Source organism: Homo sapiens, chromosome 7, assembly GCF_000001405.40.
Source record: "Homo sapiens chromosome 7, GRCh38.p14 Primary Assembly".
NCBI lineage: Eukaryota > Metazoa > Chordata > Mammalia > Primates > Hominidae > Homo > Homo sapiens.
Genome location: NC_000007.14, coordinates 97384452 through 97398815, shown reverse-complemented (window position 1 = coordinate 97398815; position 14364 = coordinate 97384452). Strand labels below are relative to the sequence as shown.

The 14364-nt window shown below is 38.0% G+C and overlaps 1 long non-coding RNA gene across 1 annotated transcript in view, besides 1 other annotated feature; it reads left to right on the top strand.

Annotated features, from left to right (window-relative positions):
- LOC105375416 (uncharacterized) overlaps window positions 1-14364 on the top strand; it is a 237202-nt gene that overhangs the window by 166916 nt on the left and 55922 nt on the right. The window lies entirely within an intron of this gene.
- Window positions 1054-1554: an enhancer, noted in NCBI's record as "H3K4me1 hESC enhancer chr7:97026574-97027074 (GRCh37/hg19 assembly coordinates)". NCBI's record gives its function as "activates a minimal SCP1, AML or CMV promoter by ChIP-STARR-seq in primed H9 embryonic stem cells {active_cell/tissue: H9 hESC(primed)}" and the evidence as "EXISTENCE:reporter gene assay evidence [ECO:0000049][PMID:30033119]".

Genomic DNA, 14364 nt, shown 5'->3' with positions numbered 1-14364 from the left:
ACGGGATCCCACATATATGAAATTTTTAATTCACCAAGAAGAGATAATCTGACATCATATATACCCAATGACATAGCTTAAAATACACAGAGCAAAATTTGACAAAATTAAAAGGATGAAATGAATGCACCAGCATGGTGAGAGATTATATCAGACATATTTCAGTAACTGACTTAAAGCGTAGGCAAGGAGAAATCACAAAGGATGAGGATTTGAACAGCACAATTTAAAACCTTATTCTAGTGTACATATATAGAATGCTGTACTCCCTGTTTGAGAGTACACATTCTTTTCAAGCATACATGGAATGTTTTTAAAGAATACATTATGAACTGTACTTAAAGAAATGTCACCTAATTTCAAAAACCTGTATCATACATGTCTTAATATTGGACTTCCCAAAAATTGAATTAGATAATAATTACCAGAAAGGTATCTTTAAAAATCTACATATTTCAAATCTACACTTGGAATTTAAACATATGCCTTAATTACCCATGGTTAAAAGAAGAAACTACAATGGAAATATAAAATAGTTAGAACCACAAATCTAAATGAAGGAATTATATATAAAAACTTGCAGGATCCAACTAAAGCGTCTTTGTATTAAGGGAATGTTTTACCACTTTAGAAAAGAAGTCTAAAAATGAAAAAGGTGCTGTAAGTACCTAGGCTGCAGAAATCATGCAGAAGCTACTGTGAACAACTATAAGGAAATAAATTTGAAACAGGTGGAATGGTCCAAGACCTAGAATGATACAAGTCACTAAAACTGACCTATGAGGAAATAGTAAATCCAAATAGCCTATAACTGTATCAGTCAGGGTCCATTCAAGGAAGCAGAAAATTTTAACATCAGGAATTGTTTAAAGAGGCTTTAGGACAACTGAAAGAGCAGAAGGAGACCTCTGAGGTGACCCAGGGATGCTAGTTGCAGGCAGCATCTGCTACTCCTGGAGCTGAATGTGAAAAGGAAGAGTGGGGGTTCTCCCAATTTAACAGCTTGGAGCAGGACTCTGCAGAGGTGGGACCCAGACCTCTGGTAAGAAGGTATTGTCCAGCTGGTGCTGGTATTTGGGAGTTCAGAGGAAGCAGTCCTGCTTCCAGCCAGCTGATGTTGGTATCTCTGAGGGGACACAGTGAGGCTAATTCTGAGACTATAGAAGAAACTGGAACCAAATGCTGCTGCCAAAGTGAAAAACATTGCAGAAATGCCACTTACAGAAACAGGAAGCAAAACTGGCAGGAGCAGTTTCCTTTCCTTCTCTCCAGTCTCCTCATCTCCATTTAGTGGCTACTGGAAGAAGCTAACAGGGAACTAGGTAGAAAGGAAAAATGTGATTTGAAGAGTGTCTGTCTCAGCATCACAAAGCAAATGAGAGAAGGGTGGTTTGGAGGCTAGGAGAAAACAGTGTGATAGCCTTGATTACTTGTATCAGAAAAGAAAAATAATCTAAAAATACATGAGCTAAATATCCAACTTTAAGAAGTTAGAAAGAGAAAAACAATAAATTTAAAGAAATTAGATGTGTAGAATTAAGAGACAAAACTAAAAATTAGTGAAATAGAAAATAGTCAATAGAATAATATAAAGCCAAAATACAGTTCTTCAAAAAGACTGAGAATATTGACAAATTGACAAGAAAATGTAAAAAGGACAAAACCATAAATTAAAAATTGGGGAAAAGATGAAGAACATAACTACAGACACTGCAGAAAACAAGCAGAGGGTATTATGAAGAACTGTATACCAACATTATAAGCATGTAATATGGTCAAATCACTAAAATAAACTCAAGAATAAGTTGAAAATCTAAATAGTCTATAGCCATTAAAAGAAACTAACCTGGAAGTCAGTTCTTTTCACACAAATCACCAGGCTCAGATGGAATTATAGGAAAGTTCTACTAAGTCAAGTAAAGGATCATTCAATTTTTCTATAAACTCCTTAAAGAAATATACAAAGGAGAAATAATTATTGTTTTATGAGTAAACTTAATACTAAAACCACAAGAGAAAAAGAAAGTGTATAGTCAAATCCAAACAAAACAAATTCATCAATATATAGTCAGCCCTTGATATCTGTGAGTTTCTCATCCATGGATTCAACCAATTGTGGATCAAAAATATTTGGAAAAAAAAAGTGTCTCTACTGAACACGTACAAACTTTTTTCCTTGTCATTATTCCCTAAACAATACAGTGTAACAACTATTTACGTAGCCTTTACATTGTATTAGATATTCTAGATAATCTAGAGATGACTTAAAGTATATGGGAGGATGTGCATAGATTATGTAAATATTACACCCTTTTATATCAGGAACTTGAGAATGTATAGATTTTGTTATCTGTGGGGTGTTCTGGAATCAATCCTCAAAGGATACCAAGGGACAACTGTATATAGAAAGAGAACACATATTAAGTAGCAAAATGCTAAAAGCATTCTTTAACGTAAGGAACAGCGCAAGCATACTTACTATCATCACTAGTATTCAACATTATACTGAAAGTCTTAAATAATTTAGCAAAGAGAAAATGGTATAAGAATAGAAAAAGAAGGGAAAAAGCTGTCATTCACAGAGAAAATTACCATCTATATGAACAATACAAAGGGTTATGCAAATTATAGGAATTACGGGAATTTGTCAAGATGGTACAATATATGATTAATGCACAAAAGCTAACTGCATTTCTTGATTCCAGCAACAAACAGAAAATTAAAAAAAACTTGTAAAAGGTACTACTATTTACAAAAACAACTAAAAATAGATGGTACTTAGGAATACACATATCAAAAGATATGTAAGCCCTCTATAAAGAGAATAATAAAAGCTGGGCACAGTGGCTCAAACCTATAATCCCAGTACTTTGGAAGGCTGAGGAGGGCGGATCACTTGAGTTCAGGAGTTTGAGACCAGCCTGGTGAACGTGGCAAAACCCCGTCTCTACTAAAAATACAAAACTTAGCTGGGTGTGGTGGCATGCACCTGTAATCCCAGCTACTTGGGAGGCTGAGGCAGGAGAATCACTTGAACCTGGGAGGTGGAGGTTGCTGTGAGCTGAGATCATGCCACCGCACTCCAGCCTGGGCAACAGAGCGAGACTCCATCTCAAAATAAATAAATAAATAAAGTAATAAAATTGGATCCAAAGACATTAAAGAATATCTAAATCGATAGACTTATATGTTATGTTAACATATTGGAAAGGTTAATATAAAGATGTGTTTCTTCAAATCTGCATATTCATTGGAATTACAGATTTAAACAAATAAAAATCCTAGATTCAAAAACCTGTTGGAAAAGCCAAGAGCTAAAGTAATCCTAAAGATGAAGAAACAAGAAGAATTTTATTACCCTAAAAAAGTAATAATAAAATTTTGTAATTGGTGCAGAGATAAATAGGGCAATGAAACGAAATGGAAAAACAAGAAAATTACCTATTTACATATTAAAAACTTGAATAATGGCACAACAGAACTCAGAATTAGTAGGAAAGAATGGATTATTCTATAAATGGTTCTAGTATAATTGTTCATCTATAAGGAAAAAAATGGAAAATTGACCTTTAGTTCATACCTTACACAAAAATCAATTTCTGATATATTGTTTCAAATGTGAAAGGCAAAACATTAAAAACTTTAGAAGAAAATATAAGTGAAAGGCTTCTGTCTCCTTAGGGATCTCATAAATAAATAATGTAAACTATAATAAAATATTAAGAAATTTAATCTTATTGTAATTAATAACTATTCACTAAAAGACCCCATAAAGAGTGTTAAACTACAAACTTGGGAAAATATTTTTGTGATTCCTGTAAAATAAAACATAAAAAACTAGTTTTGTAATATATAAAAATGTTGTGTATCAGTAGGCCAATACAAAGAATCAAATTTTTTTTTATTGAATACTCATGTCTCATGAGTAGCATGGAGAGCCAGTAAATAGCCAATGATTCTCCACATCATTAGTATGAGTGAACATATGAATTTCAATGATATACCAATTCACAGCCACCAGACTGGAAAAAAAAAAAATTAAAGCCTGACAAAACCAAGTAATGGGAAGGACATGCAGCAATAGAATTTCTCAAAGCAAATAAGAGTTTAAATTGGCACAGGCCAGGCATGGTGGCTCACACCTATAATCCCAGCACTTTGGGAGGCCAAGGCAGGCGGATCATGAGGTCAGGAGATCGAGACCATCCTGGCTAACACCGTGAAACCCCTTCTCTACTAAAAATACAAAAAATTAGCCAGGTGTGGTGGCAGGTAGGTGCGGTGTAGTCCCAGCTACTCAAGAGGCTGAGGCAGGAAAACGGTGTGAACCTGGGAGGTGGAGCTTGTAGTGAGCCGAGATCATGCCACTGCACTCCAACCTGGGCCAACAGAGCGAGACTCCATCTCAAAAATAAATAAATAATAAATTGGCACAAACATCTTGGGAAATAAATGTATATCTACCAATGAAGGTGAACATGCCTATAACCCTTGTCCAAGCAGTTCCACTTCAGGGAATATATCCTAGAGAGATCTTTGCACATGTGCATCAGGAAACATGTATGAGAATGTTCATACTAGCATTGTTTATGATAGGAACAAACACTAGAAAACAGCCCAATTGTCTATGAAAGTAGAATAGGTTTTAAAAATTGTAATATAATCATACAATTAAAGATGATACAGTAGTGAAGGTGAATGAACTACAGCTATATGCACCAGCATGATTGAATCTCAGGAAAAATAATTTTGAACTCAAAAAGCAAACTAAGAAAAAATACAGAAGTATAGTTTTGTTCATCTCAAGCTCAAAAATAGGAAAGTCTAAATATGTTGTTTAAGAGACACATGTATGTGATTAAAATATAAAGAAAAGGAATGGAGAGATTATCACAAAATTCAGGATAGTGGCTGCCTCTGGAAAGGAGAGAGAGAGAGATCATCATGAAGGAGCACACAGGAGTCTTCAAACATATTGGTAGTTCTATTTCTTAAGCTGGCTGGCAAGCACAAGATGTTCCTTTTATGTTATTTTATGCCTTTATTTACATTGTAGGGGAGGCAAAACTTTTCTTCTACCCTCTTCTGGTCTCCAGGTAGCCCTGAGAATTAAATTAACATAGATTAACAAGAAAAAAGCTTATAGATTTTTATTACATACCTGGGAGCCCAATAGAAAAATAAAGACCCAAAGATGTGGCAAAACCTAAGTGCTTATGTGCTGGGTAGAATGAAGAGAAGCAATTGTGGAAAAATAACTGTAATTGAGACACCAGAGGTTCAGTCTAGGCCCTGTTACCACACAGAAACCTAATCACTGAGACGATGAGTATTGCCAGAGAAAAAGTATTTATTCGGGTGTTGCACCCAAGGAGATACAAGATCAGTCTCCAATTCATCTCCTCGAGGGACTAAAATTAGGGATTTATATAGCAGGGAAGAAATGCAACCATGTGTGAGAAAATAGGAATTAGGGAGGGATAAGGAAGAGAAGTTGTTCAACAGGAAGCAGGTGGTCAGTTAGGCAATAATGATAGGCCTCATTGTCCAGATTGGGTTATCTGTTAAGTTTCAATTCCTTAATACTATCTCGAAAGCCTGATGGTTGATTTCCTGAGAGAGGAACTCAGATAAGATAAATGTAACTTTCTCAAGTTTTAAGACTGGAGGGTCCATTCCTATGTTAATTCAAAAGAAACCATAGACATCAGTTCTATGGGGCAATTGGGCCAGTTTCATAACTAAAATGTATGAGGAGACCAAAAGAAGATAGCTATTTCAAGTTGGGCACAGTGGCTCACACCTGTTATCCCAGCACTTTGGGAGGCTGAGGCAGGCAGATTGCTTGAGCCCAGGAGTTTGAGACCAGCCTGGGCAACATGGTGAAACCCTATCTCTACTAAAAATGGAAAAAATTAGCCAGGCATGGTGGTGTGTGCCTGTAGTCTCAGCTACTTAAGAGGCTGAGGTGAGACGATGGCATGAGCCTGTGAGGCAGAGGCTTTGGGCTCTGTCTTGAGGAAAAGAGTTATTTTAACAAGGTCTGTTTGTACAGAATTCTTTTGGCCTCACCGTGGTGATAAGAATGTTTCCTCTTGGAATAGAGAGGGCATCTCTAAGATGGGAGTTTTATTTCTTGCTTTCAGAAAGAGAAGGAAAGGTCAGAGCACCCCTCTTGCAGCTGCTGTCTTTCAAGTGCCTTTAGCTCTCAAAATAATACTTATGCCAAAGTAGCATATTTGGAGTTGGTAGATTCTGTCATCCTTCAACACAATAAAATGTTTTATAAAATTCAATTTGAAACAATTTACCTTTATGTTAGGTACTTGTTTGGCTTTTATAAAGAAACTAATAGATTAATATTTTTCCTATTGTCCAATAATTTGTACTGTTTCGTTGTGTTACAAAATTATATATATTTTTAATTACCCCCTAAAAGTCTAAATTGTATGTTTTTCATCAAATTATTTTTAAATTTTATTTCTGACAAACATGTCCATATGTATGAATTTTAAGATGATGCATATGAAAGTGTTTAAAGATACATATACTTATACAAATGCAAGGTAATATATACATGGAATATATTTTAAAGGGTAGGTAGAATCACTGTTTTTTGACTAAGTAGAATGTGGCTAAAGATCAAATTAGATGGTTATCCTCTGAAATCTTGGTTAAGCCTATTTCTTTTTTTGTTTATTTTTGTTTTTGTTTTGATACTACCAAAGCAAAATGATTGAGAGGCACAGAGATGGGAATAGAACATCCAGTATCTTTGCAGAATAAACTAGGGATTCCTGTTATATGATAAAAATGTAGGAAGAGAAGAGAAACAGTTTTCACCAAATAAACTAAGTAATTAAAGCACATCTTACCAAACTAAAAAGTCAAGTGTTCACCCAGCTTGATATCTTCCGCCTCCCCAGCAAAAATAAGATTTTTCGGCAGGTTACACTGGCCCATGCCTGTAATTCCAGCACTTTGGGAGGCTGAGGTGGGAGGATCACTTGAGTTCAGGAGTTGGAGACCAGTCTTGGCAACATAGTCTCCGCAAAAGTACAAAAATTAGCCAGATGTGGTGGCACATGCTACTAGTAGTCCCAGCTACTCGGGAAGCTGAGGCAGGAGGAATGCTTGAGCCCAGGAGGTTGAGGCTACAAGTAAGCCATGATGGCACTGTTACCAAAACATTAGGGGTTCGGTCTAAGTCCTGCTGCTTGCTGCACAGAAAGCCAATTACTGAGACAATGAGTATTGCCAAGGAAGAAAGCTTTAAATCAGGTGCTGCAGTGAAGGAGATGGAAGATAAGTCTCAAATCCATCTCCCTAACCAACTGAAATCAGTGGTTTATATAACAGGGAAGAAATGTAACTATTTGTGAAAAAATCAGGAACTTGGGAGGGGTAAGGAAGCAATCATGATGAGTAAGAGGCCTGGTATCTCATTGTCTGGATGCCATTACCCAGTGAGTTTTAGTTCTTTGATACTTTTTGAGAATCCTGAGGGTCCTTTCCTGAGGAAGGAACTCAGATAAAACATATGTAAGTTTCAAGCTTTAAGCCCAGAAGAGAGTCAATTTCTATGTTTATCCGAAAAAACACTGTCTATGGGACTGTTGGGTTGGTTTCAGCACCACTGCACTCCAGCCTGGCGAACAGAATGAGGCTGTCTACAAAAGCAAGCAAACAAACAAACAAACAAAAACTTATCAGGCTGGGTTTGTTAGCAGTGGCAGGAATCCACGTTACCAGTGGCATATCCATACAGGTTCACAGCAACTTCAGTCCCTGCCTTCTCAGAAGAAAGTATTCGACTGAGGGGCATAAAGCAGAAAGAGACTGAGGGCAAGTTTCAGAGCAGGAGTGGAACTTTATTTTAAAAGCCTTTAGAAAAGGAAAAAAAAGACAGTTCACTTGGAAGATATCCAAGTGGGTGCCACAGTCCAAGAGAGAAAAGAGAACATTTAAACTTGATCCCAGGCTGGGCACGGTGGCTCATGCCTATAATCCCGACACTTTGAGGTCAGGAGTTCGTGACCAGCCTGGCCAACATGGTGAAACCCCATTTCAACTAAAAATACAAAAAAAAAAAAAAAAATAGCTGGGCATGGTGGTGGGCGCCTGTAATCCCAGCTACTCAGGAGGCTGAGGCAGGAGAATCTCTTGAACCTGGGAGGCAGAGGTTGCAGTGAGCAGAGATTGGGCCACTGAACTCCAGCCTGTGTGACAGAGTGAAACTCCATCTCAAAACAAAACAAAAAACACCTGGGACTTTATAGGTTCAGCTCTTTGCCATGATTCTTCCTTTAGGTGGGCCTCCCACATACGCAGTGCCCTCCTTACACTTAGGAACTGAGCATGCATGGGGTGTTTAGGAAGTTGTACACATGCCTATCTGAGGTTTTCTTCCCTTTTCCGGTGGAAAGTACCCCCGGAACGTCATACTTTGCCATTTTGTCTCTTAACGTACCTGCCCAGGAAATTTCTTCTCCATAGGGTCTGCATTCAGCTAACATTTTGATGTTAATAGGTGTGAATCATCAGGAAATGGCCCTCCCTGGTGCCAACTGTCAATTATCTCTTTTAGGAAGGCAATGTGGTAATTGCTGAACCATCACCTGACATTCCTAGTGGGTGGGAGAGAGTCCTCTCCTGTCCCGCTCGTGCCTAAATAACTACCTGTAACAGGTTTGAGTTTAGACCTCTATCAGTGCAGCCCAATATTAAAACTGGTGTTTCCCAATCTTTATTTTGCTTTATACAGGTTTTTGTTTTTTATCCTAGAACAATGCCTTGCACGCAGTAGTTGCTCAATAAATATTTGTTAAATGAATAAATAACATGCTTAGGCCGGGTGCAGTGGCTGACTCTTGTAATCCTAGCACTTTGGGAGACCAAGGCAGGTGGATCACCTGAGGTCAGGAGTTTGAGACTAGCCTGGCCAACATGGCAAAACCCCATCTCTACTAAAAATACAAAAATTAGCCAGGTGTGGTGGCATGCACCTGTAGTCCCAGCTACTCGGGAGGCCGAGGCAAGAGAATCACTTGAACCCAGGAGGCGGTGGTTGCAGTGAGCCAAGATCGCACCATTGTACTACAACCTGGCTGAAAGACAGAGACTCCACCTCAAGAAAAGTAATAATAATAATAAATAAATAAATAAATAAACAACACGTTTAAAGTTTAAGAAGCAGAGAATAAAAACTAAAAGCAGTGGTTTAGAACAGAAAAAAATATTTCCAAGGGCATTTCATATATGCTTAGAATAACTCAGCAGTAGATGAAAAGTCAGAAATTAAGTACACTAGGGAGCAGAATAGAGCAACTGCAGGGTAAATGAGCTTTGGAGTCTGAGAGATGTGAGTACAAACCCATTTTTTCTGGTTCCTGGAATTGTAATCTCCACCAAATTACAAATTTTCTCTTTAAATTTTTCTAGCTATTCTAAGGATCTTTGGCCTTAATCTTCAGCAGTTTTTCTATGAGTTATGTAGGTTTTTATCCTGCTTGGGACTCATATTTTCTAAGCATGAAGATTTTTGTCTTTTATCTGTTCTGGACATTCTCAGCCATTATTTCTTTATATATTGGCTATTCTTTTCACCTACAGTTCATTTTCAACGCAAATTGAACCCTCTCTTTATATACTCCATGCACCTTACTTTCTCTTTTATATTTTCCCTATCTTTATCTTTCCTCAATTCCATCTTTCATTTCAATCATTTTCTGTTCAGTCGTGTATAACATGCTGTTTGACATTCCCATTGAGACTTTTTATTGCAATGATCATTTATTTTAAGTAAGTTCTGTTTGTTGTTTTAAATCTTAGTTTTTTTCATAGTGTCTTTGTTACTTTTCTTATGTTTTTATTCATTTCATGATAAGTCAAGTTTTATCCTAGGGAATCTTTTCTGGACTGGGTTGAAGAGGTTTCTCTCAAAGGTGATTTTGTGTTTGCTTCTGACAGATGAATCAAGTATTTTCTTAGCCCCAAGCCCCTTTTACACAACTGTTTTTTTGAATTTTTTGATTTTCATTTGAGATTCAGGGTACACATGTGCAGGTTTGTTACAAGGGTGTATTGCATGGTGCTCAGGTTTGGGCTTCTATTGATCCTGTCACCCAGATAGTGAACATAGTACCCAACAGATAGTTTTTCAGTCCTTGCCCCTCTCCCTCCCTCCTTTTGCAGTCCCCAGTGTCTACTGTTCTTGTCTTTACGTCTGTGTGAACCCAAGATTTAGCTCCCATTTATAAGTAAGAACATGCAATATTTGGTTTTCTGTTTCTGTTAGTTTACTTAGGATAACAGCCTCCAGCTGCATCCACACTGTAGCCAAGGACATGATCTCATTCTTTTTTCATGGCTGTATAGCATTCCATGGTGTATATGTACCACATTTTCTTTATCCAATCCACCATTGCTGGGCACCTAGGTTGATTCCATGTCTGCTATCGTGAATAGTGCTGCAATGAACATAGGAGTGCATGTGTCTTTTTGGTAGAATCATTCATATTCCTTTGGTTATACACCTAGTAATGGGATTTCTGGGTTGAACGGTAGTTCTATTTCTAGTTCTTTGAGAAATCTCCAAACTGCTTACCACAGGGGCTGAGCTAATTTGCATTCCCACCAATAGTGTATAAGCAGTCCTTTTTCTCTGTATCCTCACCAGCATCTGTTATTTTTTGACTTTTAAATAAATAATAGCCATTCTGACTGGCCTTTTATGCAACTTTTGTAGCTGTAATTTCCTTTTCTATGTGGGAAGCATACGTATGAATCTCAAACTCTAGGAAAAACTACCCCTGGGGTAAAGAACTCTCAGGAAACCCATTTTGCTCCCTACCCATGGAGCTGAGGCCAAGAAGGACAAATTTCTTTGTTGCCTATCAGTGCTGAAGGGCAGATTTTTACTCTAGACTTCCCCTTTACTGAGGGTATAGTTATCCAAAGGCCCCTATTTTTTATGAAGGTTTCCATTCTACTTCTTGTCCAGGCCCTTTGAGCCCAGGGCCTTATTTCTTGATCTGTTAAGGACATTCAATTTTAACGTTCTTCAAGGATTTCTGGCAAATTTCATTTCCCAATTTGTGCTTGCCTCCCAGGAATTTCCCTTTCTTTCTTGCAAACTCAGCTATGCAGTTCGAGGTGTTTTATAGCAGAAAAGTTCTCAAGCTATATATTCTATCTTGCTGCAGAAAGTGAAAATCTCCCACTAACCTAATATAAGGTCTCACCATATGACTTGCTAATATTTGACTACTTTTGGCCTATAAAATTTCATATATTTCATGTTTTATAATTGCATATAATTCTTAAATAATTTGTATCTTTCTTAAATATTTAACTCGGATATTTTCTAATCCCCAAATCTGATGTGAGGAATAAATGAAATAATATATATAAAGTCCTTGGCATTTTGGACATAAACAATGGTAGTTTAGCATTATTAACATGTGTATGTCAGTAACTGCATGGAGTATAATGGGAAGAATAAATACCACAAATACACAAACTGGTGAGAGGATTTGCCTCCAGAGGGGGGTACTGAATTGCTGGGAATGGAGAAGAGACTTCATTTTATCTGTAAGCCCTTAATTTTGAACCATGTGTGTTTCCCATGCAAAAATTATTTTAAAAATTAAAAATGAAAAAGTATAAACCCATACTCTGCCTCATAGGTATGTGTGCTTTTGACTTTTTAATAATAAATGTGTTTATATGCTATGTTTACCATTTAGAAATTAAAGCTCAAAAAATCATTTGGACATATGTCCATATGGGTATAAAAAATCATTAATACTTTATTTTTTTCTATTTGCATGATGAAACCAAGGCTATGTTAGCTAAAAGATAATCAGTGGGCAACTCAAGTCTAATTTGGTGTGAAATGCAAAAATAAAAAAAAATTTAAAACAAAGCAACTACAAAAGCTGAACTTTAAAGTCAGCAGAGATATTTTATAGTTATAAATCACACTCTGTGCTTTGAATATTTTAGAGAAGATATTCAGCCTCAGAGTAGAGAAAATTGTTGTAAAAATGTGGTAGAAAAATGAAACATTATTTTGTTGTTGTGGTTTCTCATAAAACAAAGCAGCGACTGCTTTTTAAAACACGCTCACACCATGATTCCTCTGTGGTGTGGTACTGAAGACATTTACAATGATGATACTAATGAGTTTTTAAAACTGCATCCTAGCTGGGACGTTTTCCTAAGAAATATAAGGCCATTAAAAGGAATTATCACAGCAACCTTCCGGGGGTCCCCCAATATGCCTGGGAGGTGCCCACGGTGTATCTGTGGACTATTGGAATTTACTTTAAATTGATGGTCCCTGAGTTATTTGAGGTAATATGGTATTCTGTTGCCTTTTTATTTCTTCCTCCATTTGGTCTGCATCAAGGTTTCTCAGCCTCCACACTATTGATATTGTGGGTCTGATAATTCTTTGTTGTGGGGCACTGCCCTGTGCATTGTAAGAGGGTTGGCAGCATCTCTTGCCTCTATCCACTAGACACCAGTAGCACCCCTTCCTCAGCTGTGACAACATGGTCTCCATATTGTCAAATGGCCTTTGTGGAACAAAATTATTCTTTATTGAGAATCACTGTTCTACATCTTGCTAAATTCTTTAATCTGAGCCTGGATTAGTGAGGAAATTGTCAAAATTGGGAAGAGATACCTTTGGGGTCCTTTGTGGCTTACTGAGGAAGAAGAAATTCCTCTTTTTTGGAATAAACTCCATAGCGCATCCTGGTTCTCTCACTAGATAAACTGAAGGGAACCAGTTGCTATGTCCCAGTGGTACCCAAAAGAAATGCCACTGTCCTCCCACTGAGACATATGAAATGTCGCCTTGGAAGGTGTTCCTTCTGTTATTCATATAGACAAAGTTCATTTGCAAGTAAGCATGGGCGTTCTTTTGGGTACAAGTCCATAAATAAACTGGAGGGCACAGAAAAGGACTGGCAGGAAGTCCTTATGCCATATACCACACCTCCTTGGCTCATTAAGAATCACATTGGCCTGGCGCGATGGCATGGCTCATGCCTGTAATCCCAGCACTTTGGGAGGCCGAGGTGGGCGGTCAGGAGTTCAAGACCAGCCTGACCAACATGGTGAAACCCTGTCTCTACTAAAAATACAAAAAATTTGCCAGGCATAGTGGCATGCATCTGTAATCCCAGCTACTCAGGAGGCTGAAGGAGGAGAATCGCTTGAACCTGGGAGGTGGAGATTGCAGTGAGCCGAGATCACCCACTGCACCCTATCCTGAGAGACAGAGCGAGACTCCATCTCAAAAAAAAAAAAAAAAAGAAAAAGAAGAATCACATTAACTATACCTCCTCACGTAAATATACGTTTCTGCACATAACACAGCTTAGCTTTGCTTTTTGGCTGGTATATATTGGACAAGTTAGAAGTTCTGGGTTGAGCATTTCTTTTGTGTTTTGTTTTGAGATGGGATCTTACTCTGTCGCCCAGGGTGGAGTGCAGTGGAGCAATCTTGGATCACTGCAACCTCCCTCTCCTGGGTTCAAGCAATTCTCAGCCTCCCAAGTAGCTGGGAATACAAGTGCGCACCACCACACCTGGCAGATTTTTTTTTTTTTTCATTTTTAGTAGAGATGGAGTTTCACCATGTTGGCCTGGCTGGTCTTGAACTCCTAACCTCAGGTGATGCACCCGCCTGGGCCTCCCAAAGTGCTGGGATTACAGGGGTGAGCCACTGCACCCGGCCCTAGGTTGAGGATTTCTATTTAAAACATTGCCATCAACTCATACCATGTTCATTTCCAACTTACTTAAAACTTTGCACTTAAGAATATTAATATGTAGGCCGGGCGTGGTGGCTCACGCCTGTAATCCCAGCACTTTGGGAGGCCGAGGTGGGCAGATCACGAGGTCAGGAGATCGAGACCATCTTGGCTAACACGGTGAAACCCCATCTCTACTAAAAATACAAAAAATTAGCCTGGTGCGGTGGCAGGTGCCTGTAATCCCAGCTACTCAGGAGGCTGAGGCAGGAGAATGGTGTGAACCCGGAAGGCGGAGCTTGCAGTGAGCCCGAGGTAGCACCACTGCAGTCCGGACTGGCCGAAAGAGCAAGACTCCATCTCAAAAAAAAAAAAAAAAAAAAAAAAAAATGTAAAAGTATAACTTCACTTGGAAAGATGGAGCAAATTTAGGAAAATTTCTCTTTTCACAAGGCAGATTAGATGTCCATGTTAATCTATTAGTTTTTCTTCCTTTCCCTAACTTTTTAAAATAATAATAAACAGTTTTATGCAAAATTTAGTTCCTTTTATGGTTCCTCTCTCTTGGCATAGGAAATAAAGTATGTTTTACAAAGTC